The sequence below is a fragment of the Homo sapiens genome, chromosome 11, assembly GCF_000001405.40.
Source record: "Homo sapiens chromosome 11, GRCh38.p14 Primary Assembly".
Classification (NCBI taxonomy): Eukaryota; Metazoa; Chordata; class Mammalia; order Primates; family Hominidae; genus Homo; species Homo sapiens.
The window spans coordinates 65,572,262-65,596,655 of record NC_000011.10 but is presented as its reverse complement, the minus strand read 5'-3'; the positions used below and the strand labels follow the sequence as shown (position 1 = coordinate 65,596,655).

Genomic DNA, 24,394 nt, shown 5'->3' with positions numbered 1-24,394 from the left:
GCACAAAGCGTTCTCAGGAAGAACTGGCAATCGGGCGCAAGGGTATCATCTGCCCGGGTGCTCTGGGCACCCTGGAGTCCTCTCCCCACCTCCCACCCCCACCTGATCCTTCCCAGCTGCCACCATTCCTCTCCCACCACACCACCCAGGCCAAAATCACTCCATCCATGACGCCTACAGTAGCCCAGCGTAGGTCTCCCTGGACCACATTTATCCTCAAGGGCCTGTGTCCTTATCCCCCCTTCACCCCCAACTCTCCCCTGCCACAGCCAGCCCTCTGTTCCTCTCACACCCCAAGCTCATTCCTACCTTCACTGGCCTCTTACTCCCCAGCTGAAATATCACCTCCTTAGCAGAGCTTTCCCAGTGAGATAACCCCCCCGCTCCCCGCAGAGCTCTCCCATCACCCAGGGTGTTTCCTTCATGGAACTCATGACAATGTGAGGTTGCCATGTTTCTTTGCTAAGAGGTTTCTTGTGTAAACACCAGGAAGGAAAGGACCTGTGCCTGTCCTCTTCCCTAAGCACTTGAATGAATGAATGAATGAATGAATGTGGTATGGGTGCCTGAGTGAGCAGGACCTTGAATAAGTGTGAGGTCCTCTCTAGGCTTCAGCTTCCTCCGCCTCCTCCCCTCACCGCAGCCGCCTTCCTCCACCCATCCCCACCATCCCAGCTGCTGTGAAATGGGCAAATGTCTTGCCTCCAGGACCTGGGAAGGGTGATGCAGCTCACCTCCCTCCTGTTCACACCCCAGCCACCCCAGCCATCCCAGCCGGGTCCCAGCCACCCACACAGCACCTCCTCCTGGCCCCGCCCTGCCCAGCCCCTCCCAGGTGCCTGAGGTGGAGCCGCCAGTTCCCACAGCACCCCAGCGGCCTGCCATGGGGGGTCTAAGGCCCTGGTCCCGATACGGGCTCCTGGTTGTGGCCCACTTGCTGGCCCTGGGGCTTGGGGCTGTGGTGTTCCAGGCCCTGGAGGGGCCTCCTGCATGCAGGCTTCAGGCTGAGCTCAGGGCAGAGCTGGCAGCCTTCCAGGCAGAGCATAGGGCCTGCCTGCCACCCGGAGCTCTGGAAGAGCTGCTGGGCACTGCCCTGGCCACCCAGGCCCATGGGGTCTCCACCCTGGGCAACAGCTCAGAGGGCAGGACCTGGGACCTTCCCTCAGCCCTGCTCTTCGCTGCCAGCATCCTCACCACCACAGGTAAGAGAGCCAGGCAGCCAAGTCGGGGGGTGCGGCTCCAAGAGGCCATGGCTCCCTGGGGGCTTTGGGGTTCATGCAGCCCTTCCTTCAGCCCCAAAGAGCCAGATGGAGCCCAGGCCCTGTGAGGCCTGACATCACAGCTGGGGCTCCCCACCAACACACCCCAACTGGTGCCTCCACTTCAACTGCCAGGAAGGGTGTGGCCTCCCCAGTCCCACCCCAGGCACCCTTTGAGACCCAGGAGAGCTGCCCAGATGCCACAGCCTGTGGCCAGATAGGGGATACAATACAGTGGGATGGATTCTTGGATGGAAGCAAATAGAATGAACCTGGGAAGGACAGATCAGGACCATGGCCTCGGGTGGGGGAGTGAGGGAAGATAGGGGAGGAAGTCGGCATGAGATGCTTGTGGATCAGGAGGGCACAGACAGGGATGAGGGAGTCCTGCAGAGAAATCGCGTGGGCACAGGCCCAGGGAAAAGCAGCAATGAGACCCACAGCCCTGGGTTTTCGTATTTTTTGCCCCACAAAGTGTCTCAGTATTTTTTGAATTGGAATTTGTATTTCCAACTTTTTTTTTTTTTGAAACGGTGTCTGACCCTGTCACCCAGGCTGGGGTGCGGTGGTGCGATCTTGGCTCACTGCAACCTCCACCTCCCGGGTTCTAGCAATTCTCCTGCCTCAGCCTCCTGAGTAGCTGGGACTACAGGCATGCACCACCATGCCCGGCTAATTTTTGTGTTTTTAGTAGAGACGGGGTTTTGCCATGTTGGCCAGGCTGTTCTCAAACTCCTGACCTCAAGTGATCCACCTGCCTCAGCCTCCCAAAGTGTTGGGATTACAGGTGTGAGCCACTGTGCCCAGCTCATATTTCCAACTTCTTTTGGAAAATCAGGAAACCCACTCACACTGAGCCAGAATCCCTGCAAGGCAACATCCTGACTGGAGCAGAATGGGGCCTGCCCTTTGGATACAGCTCACACTTTCCAGTGTACCCCTGTCCCCACCACTCCTGTTTGTCTCCCATCTGGCTCCGGTAGGCATGTGCGTTTGCAGCTCTGTATTAGCTGATCCTGTTCTCCCAGCACACCCCGCACTCCCACCCCTCCCCGCCTGGCACATGCCCTCTCTCGCCCATGCTGCCTCTTTGCAGCCCTTCATGATTTGCCTGCCCGACTCCCCCACCAGAAGGGGCAGGGCCTGGGCTGATTCAGATCCCAGTACAAAGCCTGGCACACAGGACATGACACACATTTGGGGAAAGAGTGGATGATATTCCACCAGCTGTGGAATCGGGAGTATCTGTTAAGGGCAGCGCAGTTCTCAGAATTGTCCCAGCTACAAAAGGCCTGAGGAACTGTCTTCTTTCATCCTTTCATTTTCCAAAAAAGAAAAGAATGGCCTAGAGAGGGTAAGGGATCCCCTGACGAAGAGGAGCAGAGCCAGCTAGAACCTGGGCCTGGCCAGTTCAAGGCCACCAGAGGGCAGCCTTCTGCGGAAGGCAGTATTGGGGTAGGCAGGGACCCCAGCAGACATGGCACTCAGAGCTCTCACTGTCCACTGACTCTCTCTTCTCCAGGTTATGGCCACATGGCCCCACTATCGCCAGGCGGAAAGGCCTTCTGCATGGTCTATGCAGCCCTGGGGCTGCCAGCCTCCTTAGCTCTCGTGGCCACCCTGCGCCATTGCCTGCTGCCTGTGCTCAGCCGCCCACGTGCCTGGGTAGCGGTCCACTGGCAGCTGTCACCGGCCAGGGCTGCGCTGCTGCAGGCAGTTGCACTGGGACTGCTGGTGGCCAGCAGCTTTGTGCTGCTGCCAGCGCTGGTGCTGTGGGGCCTTCAGGGCGACTGCAGCCTGCTGGGGGCCGTCTACTTCTGCTTCAGCTCGCTCAGCACCATTGGCCTGGAGGACTTGCTGCCCGGCCGCGGCCGCAGCCTGCACCCCGTGATTTACCACCTGGGCCAGCTCGCACTTCTTGGTAAGTCCAGCCACCTAACAGCGTGTGGGGGAAGGGGGAAGAGGAGCCTGGACTAGGACTCCCATAAATCACTGGGGGGCTGGGCCTTGCAGGTGGAGGGACCTCACTCCAGGGCACGGCGTGGGAGGGGTAGTCGAAGAGCTCTGGTGGCAGCGTTGAGAAGGGGGTGAGTGGTGCCAGTTGCCAGGGCAAGTCACTGCGCTGGGAGGTGGGCGGGGAGCATCACCAGAACCCAGGCGCTGCCCCAGCACCTTCTCCTCCCCAGGTTACTTGCTTCTAGGACTCTTGGCCATGCTGCTGGCAGTGGAGACCTTCTCTGAGCTGCCGCAGGTCCGTGCCATGGGGAAGTTCTTCAGACCCAGTGGTCCTGTGACTGCTGAGGACCAAGGTGGCATCCTAGGGCAGGATGAACTGGCTCTGAGCACCCTGCCGCCCGCGGCCCCAGCTTCAGGACAAGCCCCTGCTTGCTGAAGCGTCAGGTGACCGAGTTCAGCTCCGTAAGGTGGCGGCACCTGAGGAGGAAGCAGCCAGGAGTGGCTGGGGAAGAATCTGGAGATGGAGCCGCGGTGAGGGTGGGCGGGAGGCCTCAGAGGATACTGTTAATCATAAAATGAGCAACGACTTCGGCTATTTTCAACTATTTCGAATGGGACTTCCCTGAGCCACCGGCCACCATCCCGGGAAGGCCGAGGTCCAGCCTCCGCTGGCCCTGGGAACCTCGAAACCGCACCTTCCGGCTTAGGATGGCAGAGCCGCCCGCCTCAGCCTCGGCGCACTCCCCTCCGCCTATTGAGAGCCCAGGTGGAGCGGAGAAAAGGCCGGCGCTGGGGTAGTCTCGTCCAACTTTATTGCTCTGGAGAACAGGAGGGCAAGCCAGCGCGGGGCGGTAGTGCCCAGGCATCCCTCTCCCCGAGGCCGCCGGCCCGGCCGTGCCGTCGGGGAGGACCCCGCACCCGCCGCGAGCGCGCACACACCCTCGGTGACAAATAAATACGGCGGCCGCCCCGCCCGTGGGGTCGGGGATCCGCCCTGCCCTGTACGGGGAAGGGCGCCGGCGGCCCCTAGCGGACACGCGCGCGGCCTCCGGGACGGCCGGGTCGTCCGCAGCGCAGGCCCGGGGCGGCGGCGGACGCCGGGGACGCGAGAAGTTATGGGCCACCCGGGCCGGCGGCCTCAGCTCAGCACGCAGCGCTCCCGCCGGCTCAACTGCCGGCTCAGCTTGCGGCGCCGCTGTTCCAGGCCGCGCTCCAGGCGCTCGTCCTCCTCCAGGGCGCTGGGGAGAACGGGTTCGAGTCAGCGCTCCGTTGGGCGGGGTCCACACGCAGCCCTCTGCGGGAGCAAGTCCCGGACCCTCCCAACTCCCAGCGCCGCCCAGCGCCACTCACATCCGCTCCTTGTGGTCCAGGTCCCGGACTAGCTCATCGCGCTGGTTCACCAGCGACACCAGCTCCTCCAGTAGGAGCTGCTCTCGGTGCTGCTGAGCGGACGTTTTCTGCCAGTCTGAGGGTCGAAGCGGCTAAGCGTCAGGAGGCGCGGGCCCAGGGCTGTGCCGCCTCCACCCTGGCTCTGTCTTGCCTCCCGGCCCCTGAGCCCATGTCCCACCTTCGATGGCCAGCATGGCCCGCAGCTCGCGGCTCAGCAGCTCGAACCTTCGCTCCAAGTCCTGCTCCTCCATGCTGGAAGGTGGCGGGGGGTGGGTGGCGGGGGGGTGGCAGTTCAGGAAAAGGGGCGTAGGGAGAGAGTGCCCAGGGCTCTGGCCACTCCCTGACCCCATCCCACCTCCCCAGCAGTTCCCGAGGGCAGGGCTGACCGCAGAGCTATCCTCTAGTCTCCAGACCACATTATCGCTTTTCTTCTGTTTTCTCCAATTGCTGGGTGTTTGTGTTGCTCCTCCCACACACCCCCCAGAAGGACCCCCGAAGGATTATTTGGATGAACAGTACTCATAAACAGGAAGCACTGGCTACAGTTATTCTGAAAAATCCCAAACGCAAAAGGGAGGCAAAGCTGTCTCCACCCTGCAGGATGACAAAGGCAATGGCCGCAGAGTGGCTTCGGACCCCACATGGGAACCAGATCAGATCTCTCTGGGCTTCTGTTTTCCTTACTGTAAAGGCTGGAGTGCAGTGGCACGATCTCGGCTCACTGCAATCTCTCAACCCCAGGAGGGTTCAAGCGATTCTCCTGCCTCAGCCTTCCCAGAAGCTGGAACTACAGGCGCCCGCCACCAGGCCTGGCTAATGTTTTGTATTTTTAGTAGAGACGGGGTTTCACTGTGTTAGCCAGATGGTCTCAATCTCCTGACCTTGTGATCTGCCCGCCTCGGCCTCCCAAAGTGCTGGGATTACAGGCGTGAGCCACCGCGCCCGGCCGGTTTTCTTATTAGTAAAAATAGTTCTAATTTAAGAGTTTTACCCTTAATTTTTGTTTTAATTTTTATTTTTTGAGACAGAGTCTCACTCTTTTGCCCAGACTAGAGTGTAATGGTCTGATCTTGGCTCACTGCAACCTCTGCCTCCCAGGTTCAAGCGATTCTCCTGCCTCAGCCTTCCAAGTTGCTGGGATTACAGGCGCGTGCCACCATACTTGGCTAATTTTTGTATTTTTAGTAGAGATGGGGTTTCACCATGTTGGCTGGTCTTGAACTCCTGACCTCAGATGATCCGCCTGCCTCGGCCTCCCCAGGTGCTGGGATTACAGGCATGAGACACCGTGCCTGGCCAGTTTTACACTTTAAACAGCAATTTGTTTAGGACAAAAACAGTAAGATGGAAGAGGAATCGTTTGTCAAAAAGATCTCTGTAGGAATAAGAAAGTAGTGAAGAACTCTAACCAAAGTAGCTAAGAGTCCCTCTGCTCTCCTGGCCCGGGGCCAGCACTCACAGCAGCTGCAGCTGGTCCTGCCTCCGGATGAGAGCGTTCTTCTTGTTGACCAGGGTGAACCACTCCTGGATCAGCACCTCCTCCTGCAGCTTGTTGGCACCTGCATTGGACAGGGACAGTCACCAGGCCTGCCCCCTGCCCCGTGTCAGGGTAGGGCAGCTGGGGGTTGGGGGAGGGGGTTTGCTCCCTTGTGACATCCCAGAAGCCAGAACTGTGTGCCTCGAGGAAGCCACTTCAGGGCCTCAGCATGCCTGGCTGTAAAATGGGAACGCTGATGCCAGCCGTGCCTCCTCCCAGCTCCTCCCAAGGTCAGGAACAGCTGCAGGGCTGGACAGACCTAGTGGCATGTGTTGGGGAAGGGATCCCTAGATGTATGCCCCACCTGACTCCATGAGGCTCCTCAGCTGCATCTCCACCTCAGCCGCCCGCCCATCTATCTGCCTCTGCTCCTGTTCCAGGGCCTGCAGCTCTGCACACACGTACTGACTTGTGTCCTGGAACCGTTGCTGGGGGTGGAAAAGGCAGAGAACAGGGTGGACTCAGCCCAGGCCCTGAATAGGTGGTGCTCACCCATCAGCTCCTCCCACTTAGCCCTCCTTACCAGCCCAGCCTCCTCCCCTGGGCTTGGGGGTGGTTCCTCCGAGGGGGAACTCCCACCTGCAGACAGAGATGATGATAAGGCACCCCCTAACCACCACCCACCCCCAGGAAGTCCCCAGTCCAGGCTTTGTGAGCAGCCTGAACTGAGATGGTCACCACTCCTGCTACTCACCAGGGGGCTGTTGAGAGTCTGCAGCTGTGGGTGGGCCTGGGGCAGGGCTGGGGTCAGGGGCCTGGCCTTCCTGTGGAAGAAGGGGCCAGTGAGGGCTGGGAGGGGTTTCCCACCAGCCTGGGCCTGGGGCCAGCCAGAGCCACTCATACAGAGGGGAGGAGGGGTCCTTGACCCCAGCTCCTGCCCGCCCCTGCCCCTCCTCTAGTCCTGCATGCACAGAACCCCCGGGCCCACCTCCTTCCAAGAGAAATGCCTCCTCAAGCAAAGGCCACAGCCTTCATCCTTCCTGGCCCTGTGGCCCTGGGCCCATCCACACCCAGGCTCCGAGCCTCCCAATTCCCCTCCTGGGGCTGGGCTGAGCTCCGGCCTCACAGGATGAGAGCCTGTGAAGGGCCCAGCCCAGGCCTTTCCTCCCTACTCTCTTTTTTTGAGATGGAGATTCGCTCTGTCGCCCTGGCTGGAGTGCAGTGGCAGGATCATGGCTCACTGCAACCTCCACCTCCTGGTTCAGGTGATTCTCCTGCCTCAGCCTCCCAAGTAGCCACCCGCCATCACGCCCAGCTAATTTTTGTATTTTTAGTAGAGACGGGGTTTCACCATGTTGGCCAGGCTGGTCTCGAACTCCTGACCTCAGGTGATCTGCTCACTTTGGCCTCCCAAAGTGCTGGGATTACAGGTGTGAGCCACCACGCCCGGCCTCGACTCCTCTTCCATGGAATTCCCTCAGGCCACCTCTGACTTCTGTCACCTAGTGCTGGCTTCTCCGTCATGGCCAGGGCCCCATGCAGTGACCATTGCACTGCCCCACATGGCCCCATCCGTGTGACCCAGCCCAGCCCTGCCTCCTGCAGAGGCCCCACCAGGCTCCCTCCCCTTCTGTCCTCAGGGCTCCCCAGACCTGGACCCTCCTGAGCCAGCACCTCCACCTCCTGGCCAAAAGGGGGTGCCCTGCTGCCTTTTCAGTTCCCACACCCAGGAGCGGCTGCTGCATGCTCACACACACAGGACAAGCCAGGCTGGCTGGATCTTTGAATTTTAGCTTGGAAGGGCAGGGCTGACCCCATGTACCTGCCCGCCCCTAGTGACTTGTTGGGACTGTCAGCCCTGGGGGTCCCCAACTTTCGACTCAGCTGATAGCCTGGCCCCTCAACTGCTCCTGCCCTGGCCCCCCACATCTGGGTCATCTGACCTGTGTCGGGGTCATGGGGCAGGGACAGTGGTTGACCTGCCCGTGTCCACTCCCACCTGTACCTCTCTCAGAGGCAGCCCTGGACATCCCTGGCTCAGAGGCAATCCTCTCTGGCCTGGGGCAGTGGTGACTTCCCCACCAGCCACCACCATGGCCTGCCTGCTGACTCAAGCTGAAACTGAGAGGCCTCTCTGACACCTTCACCCCCGGTGTAACTGTTTCACATCTCTCCTCAGCCCCCCAGCCTCATGCCAAAGCCTCAGGCGGCCCCAGCCTCAATGTTCCTACCACCCTGAGCCACGCCTAGACACCGCCCCCTGGCCACAGTGGCCGACTTTCAGTTCCCAAAATAGCTTTCTCAGCCTGGAGTCAGCTTCCATCTTGGGCTGCCTGGTACCAACGTGACCTCCACGACCCAGCCCAGCCCTACTTCCTCCAGAGACCCCCCTGCCGGGGCCCCCACACTCTTCCCGCCTCCCTCCCTGACTTCCATGTCTCCAGAAGCCTCCTCTGATCCCCAGGCTGGGCAGATGCTGCTCCCATGGCCTCCCCCATCACAGCTCCAACCCCCACTCACCCCGTCACAGCTGCTGGTTTCCCATGTCTCCCCCTTATACAGAGCTGGGCCCAAAAAATACAGTCAAGGTACACTGACTAATAACAGCAGCTAATATCTACCAAGTGTTTCTGTGCCGGGCACTTAAAGCACTTTATGTGCACTGACTCACTGAATCCTCCCAACAGCCCTGTGAGGCAGGGACCACGACCCTCCCCACTTTACAGATGAGGAAACTGAGGGTCAGAGATGAGGCTCCTAAAGGGTCTGGTCTAGGGCCCAGGGTTGTCTAACCCAGCAGTTTGTTCCCAAGCTTGGCCACCAACTTGCTGTGTGCCTTGGGGCCAGTCACACCCTTGGGGCCTCTGTTTGTGTCCTTGTATGTAAAATGGGAGAAAGCCCAGCCCTGTGTGACCTGGGAGCTGCAGGGCTTCTAGAAAGGAATCTAGGGAAACACACATCTCCCCTTTTTTGACAGCAACTTGCAGGGGGCCTCAATGCCACCTTGCAAAATGCTTTCATACACACCCTAAGAGTCCATGGGCAGGCCAGGCACATAAAGAGTGCTGAGCTGACGGGACAGGCAGAAGCAGGAGAGTGGAGAAATCCAGCCTCAGCAGCGCAGAGCTTCCGCATGCCAGGCCTCGTGGGAATTCCAGTGCTTCCTCATGTCTAACTCAAATTCCTCTTTTTTTTTTTTTTTTGAGACGGAGTCTTGCTCTGTTGCCAGGCTGGAGTGCAGTGGCACAATCTCGGCTCACTGAGACCTCCGCCTCCGGGGTTCAAACAATTCCCCTGCCTCAGCCTCCTGAGTAGCTGGGACTACAGGCCTGTACCACCATGCCCGGCTAATTTTTTGTATTTTATTAGAGACGGGGTTTCACCATGTTGGCCAGGATGGTCTTGATCTCCTGACCTCGTGATCTGCCCACCTCTGCCTCCCAAAGTGCTGGGATTACAAGTATGAGCCACGGTGCCCGGCCTCAAATTCCTCTTTCAATACCCTCATGCCTGGCCCCTCCTCCAGGAAGACCAGGACTTTGGGAGCTCCCAAGGGCCGGGCCAGGCCAGACCACCTCCCACTGCACACAATGGGCATGGGGGAGGGGGGTGGCCAATGAGGAGTCCCCTCCAGCCCTATGGGTCAGATATCTCCTGTGAGACAAGAGCTGGGGGAAGGCCTGACTTGGAAACACCAGATGCTGGAACTTGGGCCCAGAGGGGGCACCTCCCCTTTAAGATTTAAAGAGCCACTGACACACATTAATGAGGCCAACAGATGGGCCAAAGCTGGCCTTGTCCTCTTGACTCCTGCGTATCACATCTTCCACAGGTGGGTGTCACCCATGCCCTCTGTCTCTCACTCACAGGCTCAATGCTTGTGCCTCTGACCCTACACCCAGGACTCCTGCTCTCAGCCTGGCCTCATTGCCACTTATGGACCTTCCGGGAGATGGCTGGCAGTTCCCTAAACGAGGCCTAAACTTTCCTGCTGCCACATTTTTGCTAATGCAGTTCCCACCATTTGAGAACCCCACTCATTTTTCACCTGGGAAAAACCTGGCCATCTTATCAACCTAGCTCAAATGGTGGCTTCTTCCAGAAAGACTTTCCCAATGAATTCACTCCTTTCCTTCAAATGCAGGGGTCATTCCTGGACAGCTGAAGGTTTGCAGCAGCCTGGCAGAGCTGCCCCTTGGTTGACAGGCAGGATGGGGCAGTGCTGGGACTCCAGCTGGAAAGCCCGTGTCCTGGACTCCAGCAGCTGTGGGTCACTGAGCAAATCCCTGCTCTTTCTGGGACCATGTCCCCTTCAGCACAGTGACACGACACTCTAGGAGATGACCTACAACCCATAGGGGATGACAGCAGGGACACGGGCCCTCACGATCTCACATCTCCAACCTTCCATTGTAAGAAAAGAGGAGACTGGTCTCCAGCATCTGGGGTTAAAGATGTACGCCAGAGTCCTGGGGCTGGGAGGCCCTGGAGAATCCCCCTTGAGTACAGATAGTCTGCACCCAGCTCATGGGGCAGGGTGGCTGCTGGTTAACGATGAGCCACCTGCAGGGAAAGAAATGCCCAAACCCACCTTCCAGCCTACCAAGCACTGGGCAGAGTGCCAGGAACGTGGATGCTCCGGGAACTTCTGCAGCCTGATTCCCCACACCAAGTGCCAAGCACTAAAAACCCTCAGCACTTATCCCAGGCTGGCCGCAAAGCTGGGGACCCTGCCTGGTGGGCCTTGGCTCAAATGCGTCCCCTAATGAGGAGCTCACTACCACACCAGAGGACTCTTCCACAGCACCAGGGTCCCTCTGATCAGATAGCCCCTCCTGGGTCCAGCCGAGCCCCGCCACTCTGAAACCGTCACCCTCGCGCCAGCTCTGTCCTTGGGGCCCCTTGGGGGCTCGCCCGTTCTCTGCCCATCTTCCCGGGACCCCGCGCTGCGGCGGGGGAAGAAAGAAGGACCTTGACACTCACTGCAGCCGCAGCTCCCATGGCTCCCGCGTCCGGATCGTCCATCGAGAACGAGCTGCTGTTCCGCAGCCGCGAGCGCCTCTTCTTGAGCAGGTCCGCGTCGCGCACGTGGGAGAAGGAGCCGTGCGCGCGGGGCGGGGGCACCGACCCGGGCTCCCCGTTGACCGAGGGCCGTCGCAGCCTCACGCCGCCGCCGCCCGGTGCCCCCGCCCCGTTCACCAGCCCCTCGGCCGGGACCTCCGCGGGTCGCGACTCTCGGGGGGCCTCGGCCCCGCCGTCCTTGGAGGCGCGGCCCGCGACCGCGTTCCTGGAGGCCACCCCCGGGGCCGCCCCGTCTGCGCGGTCTGCGGCCTCCTTGGGCTCCTGGGGCCCCTCGGCCCCGTGACCGCGCAGCCGCTGCGCCAGGCCTCCGGCGTCCAGGTCGTCGGGCGGGCTGGGCTGGGCGCTGCCCACGCGGTACGTGCCGGCGCCGCCGCCGCCCTCCAGTTGTACCAGCTGCAGCTCCTGCCCGGTGCAGAAGGCGCGGATCTGGCACAGGTACGTCATGACGATGAGCTTGTCGGGCACCGACAGTAGCACCATGTCCGCGGGCTCCAGCAGCCGCGACACGCCCAGAGCCGCGAAGCCATCGAAGGCCTAGGGGAAGGGTGCACTCGGGGTCAGCGGCGGCGGTGGCCCGCGCCACCCGGCAACGCTGCAGTGCCGCCCCACGGAGGGGGTCCCCGGGATTGGCACCCCGGGTTTTGCCTAGCAACACCGCCCCCTCCTAGCGAGGGAAATCCAGCAACAAGGCCCGCCCTCGCGTTGCTTAGCAACGGCACACCGTCCACCCCGTTACCAAAGGGTGGTTTTGGAAAAACCATCTAAGGGAGGAAAAACGCTTTAAAACAAACAAACGAAAATAAGGAAAACAAACAATTTAATGACCAAAGGGGTAAAAAGTGGCAGAACTTCCAGAAGCCACTGCTGGGCCCGGCAGTCCACTTTCTCCAAATCTGACACTGAGAGCCTGGCTCTCCAGACCCTCCTTCCCTCCAGGCAGTCCCCCACCCCATCTCACCTGCTTGTTGTTCTGCTTGATGTTGAGTGGGTCTAGCGAGGCATAGTCACTGCAGAGAGTGTGCTGGTCAGAGGCTGGGTCCACACTGCCCTCCCTGATGGCTCCCCCATTCGTTCCCACCCCTCTGGCAGCTCACATCTTGTCTGGGTAGAATCGGTGCAGGATGGCACAGAAGGCCAAGCCGTTGCGCCAGGATGTGGTGAAGTTGGTGATGCGGACGCCACGGTAGCCAGTGGTGACTTCCTGGCACCACTCCAGCAGGGACTGGCTGGAGCTGACCAGGGCAGGTGGTGCCTGAGGACACAGGGGTGGGCTTAGGGAATGTATAAATGGGATGTATGCCCTCTGCCTCTTGGGGAAGCTCATGCCTGGCACACAACAGCCCCATCTCTGAGCTTGCAGGGGTCACCAGAGACCACTGGCTAGAGCCTTGGGGCCAGGTAAAAGGGTTTCTAGATCCAGGGTTATCTGCCAAGGTCACCTAAAAGGTCAGTGGCCCCCAGACAAGATCAGAGGTCACCAGCAGCCACACCTCAAAGTCAGCCCAGAAAATCAGCTTAGAGGTGTCCAGCTCCATGCGGCCCAGGGAAGATGGGGTAAGAGAGCCAGGGCATCCTGAGAGAGGAGGGGATGAGGGGGCTCCTTCAAGCTGAGCCCCCCACCCCACCCGATCCCATTCCACCAGGTGGGTCCATGCAGAGCCGCCGTTCGCTCAGCCCCAGGTTAGTGGGAAGCAGCAGACTGGGCCCTCGGCGGCCCCCATCCCTACCTGGCTGCCCGGCAGCCTCCTGTCCTCTTCAGCCTTCTCTGGGGAAGAGGCCCTGGGCGCCCCAGCCCCTGCCCCACTGGCCACCTGTGCTTCAGGCAGGCTGGCCTCTGTGAGGCTTCCCTCAGCTTCTTTCCCCTTCTCATTTCCCAAGACCCCAGCCTCCGCTTCCTGGGCCTTAAAAGTACCAGATTTGTTCTCTGGAGACTCTAAAACCTTCATCTCTGCTTCCTGGGCCCCCCAAGCCCCAGATTTGCCCTCTGACATCCCCCAAACCCCAGCCTCTGCCTCCTGGACTCTCAGAACTTGAGTCTCTGACCCTTGTACTCCTGAAATCTCTGCTTTTGCTTCCTGGGATCCTAAAACTCTTGGCTGAGTGACTGGGGCCCTTAAAGCCTCATATTTGAGAGCACTCCCAACTCTAGTCTCTGCTTCCTGGACCCCCGAAGTCTGAGCCTCTTCCTTCTCAGCCTCTGGAACTATAATTTCTGTCTTACGGGTCATCAGTACTCGGGCCTCTGCCATTCCAGCCTCGGGCCCTGAGATCCCTGAACCCCCGACCTCTGTCTCCTGGGCCCCAGCTACCTCAGATTCTAGCCCTGGGACCCCTGAACTCCTAGATGCTATCTCTTGGGTCCCCAATATCTCAGTTTCTGCTGTCCCAGTCGCTATCTCTGGAACCTCTGAACCCCCAACCTCTTTCACCTGGATCCCTGTTGTATCAGCTTCTAACCCTGGGACCCCTGAATCCCTAGATGCTATCTCTTGGGTCCCCAATATCGCACCTTCTGCTGCCCCAGTCTCTATTCCCAGAACCCCCAAAAGTCCCACCTCTATCTCCTGGGCTACCAATATGTCAGACTCTGCTATCTCTGCTTCTATCTCTCTGACCCCTGAATCCCTAGCTGTTATCTCCTGGGTCCCTAATATTTTAGCTTCTGTCCCCTCAGCCTCTGACTCTGGTACCCTAGAAGCTTCCACCTCTGTCTCCTGGGTCCCCAGCATCTCAGACTGTATTGTATCTTCTATCTTCAGTGGCCCTAAATCCCCAGATATCTCCTGGGTCACCAGTACCTCAGTCTCTGCTATCGTAGTTCTTGTCTGCAAAACTCCTGAACCCCCAGCTTCTGTTTTCTGGGTCCCCAATACCTCAGTCTCTGTCCCTGGGGTCTCTATGACCCCCACCTCTGTTTCCTGGGTCTCCAGTCCCTCACACTGTGCTGTCCCAGCAACCTCTGACTCCAGGACCCTTGATCTTGCTGCTTCTTTCTCCAAGGCCCCCAATATCTCAATTTCTAGTGTCCTAGTCTCTGGGAACCCTGACCCCTCAACTTCTTTCTCCTGGGTTCCCAGCACCTCCAACCCTACCACCTCAGTCTCTGTTTCCAGGTCCCCTGAACCCCCAGCTTCTGCCTCCCAGCCTCCCAGACCCCTGGATATTGCCCCCTGGGCAGTTGATAACAGGGCCCCCTGCCAGCTGCTCACCTGGGGCCTGGTGCTTATTGCTCCAACAGAAGGGCCCTGCTCCAGGCCTGTCCCCTCAATACCAGGTGCTCCACCCCTCACTTCTGCACCCTCTCTCTCCTGGCCTGCAGCAGCCCTGGCCCCCTCGAGGTCACCAAGTTGCCCAGAGTGCCCTGCAGGCTCCGCTGGGGGCAGGCTCAGGCCTGAGGGAGCCTCATCCCTGGTCCTGACTCCCAGCCTCCCCTGAGAGCCCCTTGGAGGAGCCTCAGGGGTCCCCCTGCATCTTGCCTCAGGCATCACCCCTGTCGCCTCTGGTCCCTTAGTGTCCACATGTCTCACCTTTGACCTCTGCTCAGCATCCACTTGACAAACTGCTGAACTCTCTTCAGCCTCCCCAGCTCTGACTCCTGACCTCTTAGTGTTTGCCTCTCTGCCTCCTGACCTTGGCTCAGTGTCCACCCCACTGGCCTCTGGCCTGTCCTCAGTGTCCATCTCTTCAGCCTTGAGTCTCTGCCTTCCAAAAGGGTCTCCAGAACCTTTATCCTCAATGCTCGGGCCCAGCCTAGCTCCATGGGCTTCTGTCCCTTCCTGAGGGCATGCCTGGGCCTGGGTCTCCCTAGCAGAGCCCAATCCTGCTGGAGGAGCCCCTGAGGCTTTGGGGACCTCATCTTCCCCCTGGGGGACTGGGGGCCGGAGGGCATCAGAGCCTTTCCGGAGCCGAGGGGCTGGGGTGGGGGCCGTGTCCTGGGCTGGCTGCCTTGAAGACCTGAGAAGAGAGCAGGAGGGGGAGTTGGGGGGCTGCTTTGGCCCCAACTCTCAGCACCATCCGCCACCCTTCAGACTGTTGGGGCCCTGGAGGCAGGTTGGTGGGGGTGAGGACTGCAGCTCCTATCAGGGGGCAATGGGGGGTGAGGCTGGTTCCAAAGCTCACCTCATCTCTGGTGAGGTTTCCGGGGGCCTTGGGGCCTCAGGGCCTACCTGGCCCCCCGCTTCATTAGCTCGTTCTGACCCCTGGCCTCGGGAGGTTCTGGCTGGGGGTGCAGGAGCACTCACAGGGGCTGGGCTGGTATCCTCAGCATTAGAAGGGCTGGCAACTGAGAAGAAAGAGGGGGACACTGTGGCCTGGGCCCAGTGACCTGGGGTCCAGTCTCCACCCCCAACCCCAGCCTGGGTCTCACCTGCCTGCTGGGGTCGTCCTTGGCCTTCCTCCTCCTCCTCACAAAGCGTCTTCAGCTCTCGAGAGGGATCTGGGAATGGTAGGAGAGGGGAGAAGGGCAGAGTCAGCCCAGGGCAGGGCCCCACAGGCCTGACCCCCTCCCCCAACTACAGTGCAGGTCCTACCTGGGAAACGCCCTGGCCTCAGGGCACCGCCCCGGCCTGCGAGAAGAGACAGGCCCACAGATGTGGAGAGAAAGAGAGAGAGAACCTCAACAGTGGACAGAGAAAAAGCCTGGACAAGCAGCAGGGAGGAATGAGGAAGCCCCAGCTGGCCCAGGAGGGCTGGTGGTGAGGGATCAGGAGCCGGGCTTCTGACCCAGCTGTCCTGGGTCAGGTACGGGCCTGGCAAGCACCACAAAGGGATGAGGAGAGGACCCAGGAGCCCAGCGAGACATTGGGAACCCATCCTCCAGGACTCAGCTGAAGACCAAGGCTATCGTGGGACCAGCAGCCAGGTTGGGACAATTGAGGCTGCTGGGTTGGTTGGGACTGCCTGGGCAGTAATGAGTTCCCATCACAGGGCGGGCACAGCAAGTGGCTGGTGGCCCGGGTAACCCTCCCTCCCCAGGTCTTGGCAGTCTCGATCCACAGCAGGCTGTGAGCCCACCTGGCTGGGGGACTCGAGCCCGGGCCTCCGGGGCTCCTGGGCCATGAGCCTCATCTTCATCACTCTCAGCAAAGTCATCCAAGTTGCCCACATCACTAGGCTTCACACTCATGAGGCTTGCGAGACTCTGCATGTCATCGTCCCTGGGAGGCAGAGGTTAAAGGTGAGGGTGGAGTCAGAGGTCACAGGCCAGGATCAAGGAGGGCAGGTAGGCACTCACGTGGCACGGCCCTCCCGCAGCAGCACCCCGGAAAGAGTGAGGCTCAGCTCAGCCTGCACCACCTTCACTGACTTTGGCTTCAGCCGCAGCCTCACTGGGACTTGGACAGGCACGGGCCCTGCATGGCGGGCCAGGTCCACCTCGGCCGTGGCCAGCACCTTCCGCTGCCCCTTAGACTCCTGTGGGCCAGGGGAGAGACCAGGAGAAGGGGCATCAGTGCTGTCCCAGGGTCCCCAAGATTCCAGACCTGAGCCCACTCCAGACACTCACATTTTCAATAATAAATGTCCACTCTTTGGCCTCATACTGGTCCACGTGGGGGTCCTGGGAAGAAGGGTGCTGGTGAGTACAGGACTGTTGGGGCAGCAGCAAAGGGAGCAGAGCTTGTCTGGCTCAGGAGGTGCTTGGTAGTGGTGGCTTTTTTTTTTTTTTTGAGACGGAGTCTTCCTCTGTCGTCGAGGCTGGAGTGCAGGGGTGCGATCTCGGCTCACTGCAACCTCTGCCTCCCAGGTTCAAGCAATTCTCGTGCCTCAGCCTCCCAAGTAGCTGGGATTACAGGTGCACGCGGTGGTTGCTACCTCCTCCTGGGATGCACCCCAAGTTCTGGTCCCAGCTGCCTCTCATGCTGCATGTGTTGGGTAAATGCTGCCTCCTCCAAGGAGACCTCCTGGGCCAGTGATGCTGAGCAGGCCCCCCTAATTCTTGGCCTCACCCCCCGCATCCTCTTCTATCTGGATGAACAACCTACCAGGAGACCTGTGTTGCAATTGTTGCAACTGCCTGTGTTGCAATTGCCATCCATGCTGGAGGGCTAGAGACTCACCCTGTAGAGGGTCACAGAGATGTCCACATTCTCAGGTACCATCCACACCACGGTGCCCCGGTATGGGTTCTGGATGCCCGGCTGCCAGCTGTGGGCCTACAAGGGACAATCTGAGTCCTCCCCCCATCTTAACTCTTCCCTCCCACCTGCACCCCCTATCACCAACCTTGACACCATCTTCCCCTCCCCTCTGTGGATTCTGATCTGTGCTTGAACCTCACTCCACTCCCCCATCAGCCCCCATCAGCCTCCCACCGGCCCCCATCCCTAACCTGGATCCCCAGTTGCCATCCTTCCCCACCTTGGAGCAGATGCGTCGGTTCCGACGGGTCCATACCACCACCAGCTTATCTGGCTGCCTGGGGGAGGGGGAAGGGGAGGGAGAAAGGGAGCAGGCTGCTTGGTCAGGCTCACCTGCCTCCCCATCTCCTCTTCCTCCTCCCCCAGCTCCCTCAGGGTCTTCCTTCTGCCCACCTCCCCCTCCTCCAGAAGAGGGCCTGGGCAGCCCCTTATCTGGGGCCACAGGGTGCAGGGTGGAGCTGCTAAGGTAGGGTGGGGCCAGAGCAGAAGGGCAAAGGCCCAGACAGTGTGGGCAGGCAGGGACTATGAGGAAAGACAGCAAGTGAGAAAGGGACAGGCACATACAGAGACCAAGACACACAGAAACACAAGGACCTGGCAAGAGATGCCAGACACAGATGCACATGTGAGCATCGTGCACACACGCAGACTCCAACACAGGGAGAGACAAAGACGAGGGATAAAAGAAGTCCCTTCGCACAAAGATGTTTGTGGAGCGCCCACCATAAACCCAGCCCAGTTTTGGGGACAGAGGAGGGCAAAAGAGAGACAAGACCTTTCCGGTGAGGACAATGGAGGTGGGGGCAGACTACCAGTCAAGAAGGAAAATAAATTAACAAGCGAACTCCAGGGTGATGTGAGGGAACCCCTGGGGGTCTCCTTGAGGTTGGGTGTCTGGGCAGAGATGAGTGGCAGGGGGATGGGCTGTGTGAGGATCTGGAGAAAGAGGGAATGGCAAGTCCAAGGGTCTGCGGCTGGAGGGTGACATCAGAGAGAGGGGCAGAGAGTTGGGGGTGAGGCCGGAGAAGCAGCAGAGGGTCAGCCTGTCATTAACCAACACCGCCATCCCTCGCCCACCATGTCCAGCCCTTTGCTGGGCGCAGGGGTCCCAAGGAGGATCAGCTTTCGGCAAGATGATGACAGTGGAGCCTGGAGGGCAATCAGAAAAGACTTCCAGGGGGTGACATCTAAGCTGAACAGCATATGCCAGGTCAGACATGGAGGAGAGGCAGAGGCAAAGCCAGAGGACAGAGATGGCTGCGCAGGGCCCATTCCCAGGCACTGAGTGGACTCATGGCTGGGCCTGGGGGCAGAGGGCCCCTTGGGGTTAGATGTTCAACTGCTGCCCAGGAGGGGTGATGCTTGAGGGGACGATCCGGCCCAGGGCAGCACGCGAACTGGCCTTGCCTGTACCCAGCCCCATGCCTGCACCCTCTCGTGATGCTGGGGTTTGCCCAGCTCACTGTTCGTCTGAGGCCAAGCCAGGATAAGTGCCTCTCTGTTAACCCTGAGGATGCTGAGGCCCACAGAGGTTTGGAGCCAAACAAGTTTACACGGTTGAGCCTAGAGCCCTCCAACCCAGAGCCAAGTTCCCTTCCCCAAGCCCAAATTGCCAGCGATGGCAGAGCAAGGGTAACTAAGGGGCCTTCCCAGAAAGGGGAAGCGGACAGGGGGTGCCTAGGGAGGGCAGGGCTTGGCTGGGCAGCCTGACTCAGGCTGGGCACGCCCTCCTGGGAAGCTGCAACCTGGGCAGGGGCAGCTTCCCGGCCTGGGCTCCAGGCTAAGCAGCCCAGGAGGCCCTACCCACAGCCGCCTGTGACTCAGCTGCGTTGACACTGCCGGCACCCTCAGCCTGCTGTGCCCAGTGTTTCCCTGGCCTCCCGCAGGATGCTGGAGCAGGAGCCAGAGGCCAGAGTTCAAGTGCCAGCCCCCAAGCTCTCCCAGGCTCTGCTGAAAGATGTGAATGGCCCTCTAGCAGGCCCAGTGTGGGCAAGGCCAAGGATATGGCAGCTGCCCAAGGGACCCCAGCCTCCTGCTTACTCCCCTCCCCCTGGACCCCATGGTCCCTTCCTGCCCCAGCCCTTCCCCTGGGGAGCCTAAATTTAGCCCCGCCTGGCGGGTGAGGCCCCCACAGCTGTGCCCTAATCCAGCCAAGGGAAGCTGACACCAGCAAGCACGTATATTTAGGGTGTGACGCAGGGGCCTGGGCAGCTATGGGTGGCGGCATGTGAACGAGATGCCCCTGAACCTGTTGGTAGTCCAGGCTGGGGCCTGCACCCTCTGGTGAATCACCCCTCACCCTGCCACCTTGCCCTCCGCAACCCTCTCCTCCCGGACCCACAACCTCCTAGGTCCTCAGGCCCCTTTAAGCTGCTCCCCGCCTCCCTCCTCAATCCTCCCAGCACTCAGTTTCCCCTTTTAAGGACATTGTGGAGATGTTTCCAGCCTCCCAGCACTCTGGCTGAAGAGGCGGGAGTTGGAGGGGTTCTTCTGGCTCAACAAGATGGCAGGGGAGGAGGGGGCAACATCTCTGTTCTTAGCTGGACTAAGTAAGGTCAGGGAGGCTCCTGCCCCAGCCCTAGCCACCTGCAGACCTCAAAACTTGATCCCTTTTCCAATGCCACCCTGAACCACCTTTCTGGCACAAGACATGCGGCCTCCCTCCCCCAGCCCTGACCGCAGCTGAGGAAGGAGTGGACACAGGCAGAACCTCAGGCCTGAAAGTCCTGACCCCCGCGCAGGGAAGGCTGCCCACGCCCCCAACTCCAGGGGTCCCACAAATTGCAAGGGCACTTCTGAATCTCCGAGCCTGGGAACGGAACCAGGGCCCAAGCTGGGGTGGGGGCCCATTTGGTCATTGGGCTGGGGGGGCAGAGTCCTCTCAGGCTCAAAGGGCCGGATGAGGTCCCAGCAAGTTCGGGGGAGCCCCCCCGCCTCCCTCCCACTCACCATTTCTTGGTGCACTCCAACACTAGCTCGTGGTAACAGGCCACGAACTGGAACTTGGCCGCCCGCTTGCCCACGCGCTGCAGGCGCTTCCACACCGAGGTCATGGCCCCCGCCACCCCGCCGCCCACTTCTCAGGCCCGGGGCTCCCGCTGGCCCGCCACCGCTGGCCCGGCCCGGGTCCCCATGGCCTGTCCGCGCCGCCCGCCCCGTCCGTGCGGAGGTGTCCCAGGCTCCGACCCGGGACCGCGCTCTCCGCTGCCGCCGCTGGGGCCCGCAGGGTGGTCTGGCTGAGTCTGCGGGGTCGCCTGGGGCGCGTCGGGTGGCGAGCGCGGAGCTGGGAGCGCGCCGTTTCCTGGAGCCGCACCCCCGTCGGAAGGCGGGCGGGGCTCCGGCGCGGGGCGGGGGCCGGGGCAGGAGCGCGGGGGCGGGGCGACCCGGCTTCCGGGGCCTCGCGCCGCGACCCGGGAGCGGGAGCGGGGGCGGGGGAGGGGGGCGTGGAAGGGGTGTCGCCCGACCGCAGTGCCCGCTCGGTGCGCGCAGAGGCTGCGTGGAGAGAGGGCAACCAGCAACTTGGTGCCACCCTAGAGAGCGCTGCCCGGGCCGCCTTCCTTCCTGCCCGCAGCCCTGGGAGGTACGTACTACTGGCCCCCTTTCAACGGCTGGGAAAACTGAGACCCAGAAAGGGGAAGGGACTTGCTCAGAGTCATACTGTGAATGTGGACGAGGACCAGCTCTCAACTCCAAGGTGCAGCCACCCACGTCTTAACCAGAGCAGGAAGGCGTCAGTAACCTCGGTGGCCCAACCTCAGAACCTGACTCTGCTGTCAAGGGGGAAGATAATCCCAAACCCCGACAAGTAGCTGGAGAATCATAACTGACCTCCAACCAAGTGTGACTTTGGGCAAAGCGCTAACACTCTGAGCCTCAGTTTCAACGTCTATTAAATGGGGATAATTGTAGTTCCGCCTTTTAGGGAATCCCTGAGAGGATGAACCTCAGAAGGCATTTAGCAGAAAGCCTGGCTGATTTTGCCATGCCTCCTTATTAAATGGGATGCGCTATAATGGATGGGGAAAACGTGTCATTTTTGTGTATGTTTACTCTCCCTCCCCAGGAAAGCCTGCCTGGAGCGTTAGCAGCTGTGAACCCCTAGATTAGAGCCCTTATCGCCTACCCACCCGCCCTGCATGGTAATGAGCCTCTGCAGGTGTCAGCTGCCCTGGGGCAATAGGTCAGTTTGTTCCTTCCCGCTGCTCTGCAAGGTGTGTAAATGGACAGGAGCCCGGTGCGTGACTGCTACTTGGTTTAACGGGATGTCTGAGTGCCAGGACTGCCATCTGGGCTGCATCTCCAGGAGGCAAATGGCTGCAGCAGGGCGCGGGGATGTGCTGTTCGTCCGCACACCTCGGTGTGCGGCTTCACCTCTTTTCAGGAGGTTGTGAGGTGTCGTGTGCGCGTGTAGGGGGCTGAGTACCCACTGTCTCCGAACGTGCTGGCTTCTTCCGGTGGGCTTGACAACTGGGTTTGGTTCTCAGTCCCAGCGGTGTGGGTCCCCGGTTTCCTAAGAAACCTTCCACAGATAACTGTAAAGACCGCTAGTGCTGTGGGGAGAGCCGGCGGTCTTCACAGACTGAGCGGGGAATACGGGTCCCTGGAACCCCAATCAAACTTCACCGCCGCGGAGTCTCATGCTTGGCCTCCGGGAAGGCCCGAGGTGCCGCGACTTCACTCCCCTCGGCCTCTGCCACCCCTCCCTCCCACCCGCGGGGCGTGAGGTCCCAGGCCGTTCCCGGAGGCGCCTCCCCCGCCCCCGCCGGGGCCCCTTGCTCCGGCGACTCCGGCCACCCATTTCCTGCGCCGCCTCAACCCCGCCCCGCGCGGGGTGGAAAGTTTCCCTCCTCAAGGTGGGCGGCTCCTTCTCCTTCCTTCCCGGCAGGCAGGGAAAGCCCGAAGCGAACTGGGAGGAGGGAGCGGGGGACTCGGAGGTCGCGGGCGAGAGAGGGGAAGTGACTCGACCGCAGTCACCCGGCGGCTGAGCCAGGCTCGGCCAGCAGGCAGCGCCCCCAGCCCCGCCCCGGCGGGACGGCAGGGCCTTCACTCGGCGCGGGGCGGGGGGGGAGGGGGTCTCGGGCGCCACCTGCTGGCAGAGCGCGGGGCCGCACCTGCCACAAACACCGCGGTCTTCCCGCCCCAGAGCCAGCCAGGCAGAGCACAACGACGCTGAGTGTATTTATTTATCTACGCGCCCTGGAGACCGGCCCCTAAATTTAAATATCCAGCACGGGGCCTTGGCCCTCCTGGCCGTGGGTGGTTATTGGGACGGGTCCTGGAGCCCTTCCAGGGCAGAGGAACCCAGAGCCCGGAGGTGGGATGCCCCTGAGCCAGCAGCTGCCGATAGCAACAAAAGGTGAGGAGGAGATGGGAGCCAGGCACTCATCCCAATCCCAGAGACGCCAAGCGGAAGGGAAGATGCTTCGGGCCCCACCGCAAGGCTGAGGGTTGGCCAAGCTGGGGGTGCACACATGTGGAAGAACTGGAGGCCCAGTGCCATGAGCAGAGGCTGTACCCTAGATGCCCGCCCCAGTGCCAGCCAACCCAAGACAGGAGAAAGAGTTTGGCAGTTTCGCCTCTGAGGAATACATGCCTGGCCCTCCTGTGAGGTGAGGCGGTAGGGGGGAAGGCGCAGGCTCCGAAGTCTGAGGGCTTGCCGGAGGGGGAGTTTCTGAGCCTTTTGCATGGGTGCATGCCCCCTGCCCCCCAGCCCTTCAGAGGCTGATGTGGAAGGCATCCTGCAGCCACTGGTCACGGGCATTGTGCGTCTGGGGCACAGTAAGGGGTGGCGGGTCAGGAGGCAGGCTGGCATCGGGAGGCTCCTCGTCGTCAGACAGGCCCGCATCCGGTGGGTAGGAGCTGTCCGAATGGAGGGAGGATGACAGGTCCTGGCAGAAGCTCAGGTCTTGGCACAGGTGTTTGTAGTCCTGGATTGACTCGTACAGGCCCCACAGCTGGCACAACAAGGACATGTCCAACTGCCGCAGCCCCACCTGCAGACAACTGAGGGTGGGCTGGAGTTGGGGTCCAGGCCACCCCAGCCCAGCCCCGCCCCCTGGAATAGTGGGCCCCAGCCCATCTTCCCCGCACCTTCCTAAACGAAGTTTTTGTGGACATCAGGCACCACCTGCAAGCTATGCAACTTTAGTCATGACCCTCACCCAAAAAATGGGGTTATCCATTTAGCCGGATGAAATGAAGTAACGTCAGCAAAACATTTGAAAATATATGGTAACTACTGCCATAATTGGTAACTATCACTAATTATTGTTACCATAACCCTTGCAACCCAACTGGTGCCTGCAAGTCCTCTGAGACCCAGGCCGCCTGTCCCAGTCCCCTGCGTTCCTCCGCGTCAGCCCCCCGCCCAGCTGGCCCGGCGCCCACCCACTCACCATCTCCTTGCGCAGCGCGGCCAGCGCTGAGTCGAGGTTGACAGGACGACGCGGGCCGGCTGCGGGTCCCGCGTTGGCGGCGCCGGCGGCGTGGCGGGGCCCGTCCGGGGCGCGGGCGGCGCGGCTCAGCTCGTCGTGGATGCGGCTGCGCTGGCTGTAGACGCGCTCCAGCTCCCGCCACGAGCCCCCGCTCGCATTAAGGAGGCCGCTGAGGCCGCGCGGCAGCGGTGGGAGCCCGGCCAAAGCGCAGCCCGCCCCGCCCGGCGCCTCTGCCGAGGGCAGCCCGTTCATGGCCGGGGCCGGCGCGGACGGCGATGCCACCTCCTTCCCTCCAACGCTCCGCCCGGGCCGCCGCCCGCAGGCCCCGCACCCCGCGGCCCCGCCGGAGCCCAGCCGCCGCCCGCAGGCCTCGCTTTGTTCCTTCCCCAGCTCCTCAGACTCCGCCTCTGCCCCACCCCCTCTGGATGGGCCGGGCCTCTCTTAAAAAGGCAACGGTTGTGGGACCACGTCGCGCAAAGCTGAGAAAAGGCAACGGGACATCCACTCACTCAAGGGGAGATGGAAAAATGCGGCGGAGGGGGGAAAAGGCTGAAGGGGGCAGGCGTGGTTTCTTCACGGTTCTTTTTGCTACCCCGTCTCCCCGCCGCGCCCCGCCCCGCCCCCACACCCAAGGAAAATGATCTAACAGTGGAGTCAGGA

At 61.1% G+C, this 24,394-nt stretch overlaps 3 protein-coding genes and 1 long non-coding RNA gene across 22 annotated transcripts, besides 12 other annotated features; 2 read left to right on the top strand and 2 right to left on the bottom strand.

Annotated features, from left to right (window-relative positions):
* The first annotated feature begins 855 nt into the window (after nt 1–855).
* KCNK7 (potassium two pore domain channel subfamily K member 7) lies at nt 856–3,820 on the top strand. Of its 4 annotated transcripts, NM_033348.2 has the most exons (4): nt 856–1,202; nt 2,782–3,180; nt 3,273–3,346; nt 3,446–3,820. In NM_033348.2, exons 1-3 carry the CDS (start codon nt 884–886, stop codon nt 3,311–3,313), a joined length of 759 nt encoding a protein of 252 aa, NP_203134.1. In that variant the 5' UTR covers nt 856–883; the 3' UTR covers nt 3,314–3,346; nt 3,446–3,820. The 4 variants fall into 4 exon arrangements, with proteins under 4 accessions (NP_203134.1, NP_203133.1, NP_258416.1 ...); NM_033347.2 differs by lacking the exon at nt 3,273–3,346; NM_033455.2 differs by having other exon boundaries at nt 3,273–3,820.
* Nucleotides 3,821–4,005: 185 nt separating this feature from the next.
* Nucleotides 4,006–20,603, bottom strand: EHBP1L1 (EH domain binding protein 1 like 1). Of its 14 annotated transcripts, none has more exons than XM_017017468.2 (21): nt 20,250–20,603; nt 18,378–18,449; nt 17,492–17,578; nt 17,220–17,315; nt 16,667–16,720; nt 16,397–16,575; nt 16,177–16,319; nt 15,693–15,728; nt 15,530–15,598; nt 15,283–15,445; nt 12,891–15,117; nt 12,258–12,415; nt 12,122–12,170; nt 11,065–11,697; nt 6,836–6,905; nt 6,665–6,720; nt 6,446–6,569; nt 6,064–6,163; nt 4,783–4,856; nt 4,566–4,680; nt 4,006–4,453 (listed from the first exon to the last, which is right to left on the bottom strand). In XM_017017468.2, exons 3-21 carry the CDS (start codon nt 17,552–17,554, stop codon nt 4,354–4,356), a joined length of 4,509 nt encoding a protein of 1,502 aa, XP_016872957.1. In that variant the 5' UTR covers nt 17,555–17,578; nt 18,378–18,449; nt 20,250–20,603; the 3' UTR covers nt 4,006–4,353. The 14 variants fall into 14 exon arrangements, with proteins under 14 accessions (XP_016872957.1, XP_047282660.1, XP_005273924.1 ...); XM_047426704.1 differs by having other exon boundaries at nt 17,521–17,578; XM_005273867.4 differs by lacking the exon at nt 18,378–18,449 and having other exon boundaries at nt 12,891–13,064; nt 14,691–15,117; nt 17,521–17,578.
* Nucleotides 7,029–7,530: an enhancer, noted in NCBI's record as "H3K4me1 hESC enhancer chr11:65356597-65357098 (GRCh37/hg19 assembly coordinates)". NCBI's record gives its function as "activates a minimal SCP1, AML or CMV promoter by ChIP-STARR-seq in naive H9 embryonic stem cells {active_cell/tissue: H9 hESC(naive)}" and the evidence as "EXISTENCE:reporter gene assay evidence [ECO:0000049][PMID:30033119]".
* Nucleotides 7,663–8,182: an enhancer, noted in NCBI's record as "H3K4me1 hESC enhancer chr11:65355945-65356464 (GRCh37/hg19 assembly coordinates)". NCBI's record gives its function as "activates a minimal SCP1, AML or CMV promoter by ChIP-STARR-seq in naive and primed H9 embryonic stem cells {active_cell/tissue: H9 hESC(naive and primed)}" and the evidence as "EXISTENCE:reporter gene assay evidence [ECO:0000049][PMID:30033119]".
* Nucleotides 7,663–8,703: a biological region, named in NCBI's record as "H3K4me1 hESC enhancers GRCh37_chr11:65355424-65355944 and GRCh37_chr11:65355945-65356464".
* Nucleotides 8,090–8,289: an enhancer, noted in NCBI's record as "active region_4991". NCBI's record gives its function as "activates an Ori minimal core promoter by ATAC-STARR-seq in GM12878 lymphoblastoid cells {active_cell/tissue: GM12878}" and the evidence as "EXISTENCE:reporter gene assay evidence [ECO:0000049][PMID:35858748]".
* Nucleotides 8,183–8,703: an enhancer, noted in NCBI's record as "H3K4me1 hESC enhancer chr11:65355424-65355944 (GRCh37/hg19 assembly coordinates)". NCBI's record gives its function as "activates a minimal SCP1, AML or CMV promoter by ChIP-STARR-seq in naive and primed H9 embryonic stem cells {active_cell/tissue: H9 hESC(naive and primed)}" and the evidence as "EXISTENCE:reporter gene assay evidence [ECO:0000049][PMID:30033119]".
* Nucleotides 15,575–16,700, top strand: LOC124902692 (uncharacterized). The gene is made up of 2 exons (XR_007062731.1): nt 15,575–16,024; nt 16,138–16,700. It is a non-coding gene; the product is annotated as an uncharacterized LOC124902692 (long non-coding RNA).
* Nucleotides 18,984–19,278: a silencer, noted in NCBI's record as "tiled region #14514; HepG2 Repressive DNase unmatched - State 4:PromP". NCBI's record gives its function as "represses a minimal TATA promoter and a strong SV40 promoter by Sharpr-MPRA in HepG2 cells {active_cell/tissue: HepG2}" and the evidence as "EXISTENCE:reporter gene assay evidence [ECO:0000049][PMID:27701403]".
* Nucleotides 20,329–20,428: a silencer, noted in NCBI's record as "silent region_3543". NCBI's record gives its function as "represses an Ori minimal core promoter by ATAC-STARR-seq in GM12878 lymphoblastoid cells {active_cell/tissue: GM12878}" and the evidence as "EXISTENCE:reporter gene assay evidence [ECO:0000049][PMID:35858748]".
* Nucleotides 20,489–20,548: a silencer, noted in NCBI's record as "silent region_3542". NCBI's record gives its function as "represses an Ori minimal core promoter by ATAC-STARR-seq in GM12878 lymphoblastoid cells {active_cell/tissue: GM12878}" and the evidence as "EXISTENCE:reporter gene assay evidence [ECO:0000049][PMID:35858748]".
* Nucleotides 20,559–20,978: a silencer, noted in NCBI's record as "silent region_3541". NCBI's record gives its function as "represses an Ori minimal core promoter by ATAC-STARR-seq in GM12878 lymphoblastoid cells {active_cell/tissue: GM12878}" and the evidence as "EXISTENCE:reporter gene assay evidence [ECO:0000049][PMID:35858748]".
* Nucleotides 21,489–21,628: an enhancer, noted in NCBI's record as "active region_4990". NCBI's record gives its function as "activates an Ori minimal core promoter by ATAC-STARR-seq in GM12878 lymphoblastoid cells {active_cell/tissue: GM12878}" and the evidence as "EXISTENCE:reporter gene assay evidence [ECO:0000049][PMID:35858748]".
* Nucleotides 21,999–22,518: a silencer, noted in NCBI's record as "silent region_3540". NCBI's record gives its function as "represses an Ori minimal core promoter by ATAC-STARR-seq in GM12878 lymphoblastoid cells {active_cell/tissue: GM12878}" and the evidence as "EXISTENCE:reporter gene assay evidence [ECO:0000049][PMID:35858748]".
* On the bottom strand, nt 22,466–24,118 carry FAM89B (family with sequence similarity 89 member B). Of its 3 annotated transcripts, none has more exons than NM_001098784.2 (2): nt 23,696–24,118; nt 22,466–23,303 (listed from the first exon to the last, which is right to left on the bottom strand). In NM_001098784.2, exons 1-2 carry the CDS (start codon nt 23,984–23,986, stop codon nt 23,130–23,132), a joined length of 465 nt encoding a protein of 154 aa, NP_001092254.1. In that variant the 5' UTR covers nt 23,987–24,118; the 3' UTR covers nt 22,466–23,129. The 3 variants fall into 3 exon arrangements, with proteins under 3 accessions (NP_001092254.1, NP_001092255.1, NP_690045.1); NM_001098785.2 differs by having other exon boundaries at nt 22,466–23,293; NM_152832.3 differs by having other exon boundaries at nt 22,466–23,254.
* Nucleotides 23,798–24,247: a silencer, noted in NCBI's record as "silent region_3539". NCBI's record gives its function as "represses an Ori minimal core promoter by ATAC-STARR-seq in GM12878 lymphoblastoid cells {active_cell/tissue: GM12878}" and the evidence as "EXISTENCE:reporter gene assay evidence [ECO:0000049][PMID:35858748]".

Excerpts from the sequence above, each read along its gene's own strand:
- KCNK7 (NM_033347.2), top strand. The coding sequence starts at position 884 with ATGGGGGGTCTAAGGCCCTGGTCCCGATACGGGCTCCTGGTTGTGGCC. Across the intron at positions 1,203-2,781 it reads CAGCATCCTCACCACCACAG|GTTATGGCCACATGGCCCCA; the intron begins GTAAGAGAGCCA and ends TCTCTTCTCCAG. Across the intron at positions 3,181-3,445 it reads GGGCCAGCTCGCACTTCTTG|GTTACTTGCTTCTAGGACTC; the intron begins GTAAGTCCAGCC and ends TCTCCTCCCCAG.
- FAM89B (NM_001098785.2), bottom strand. The coding sequence starts at position 23,986 with ATGAACGGGCTGCCCTCGGCAGAGGCGCCGGGCGGGGCGGGCTGCGCT. Across the intron at positions 23,294-23,695 it reads CCGCGCTGCGCAAGGAGATG|GTGGGGCTGCGGCAGTTGGA; the intron begins GTGAGTGGGTGG and ends AGTTGTCTGCAG.
- EHBP1L1 (XM_006718486.4), bottom strand. The coding sequence starts at position 20,353 with ATGACCTCGGTGTGGAAGCGCCTGCAGCGCGTGGGCAAGCGGGCGGCC. Across the intron at positions 16,320-16,396 it reads CTGCGGGAGGGCCGTGCCAC|GGACGATGACATGCAGAGTC; the intron begins GTGAGTGCCTAC and ends TCTGCCTCCCAG. Across the intron at positions 12,416-12,890 it reads GGAGGCTGCCGGGCAGCCAG|GCACCACCTGCCCTGGTCAG; the intron begins GTAGGGATGGGG and ends CTGTGTCCTCAG.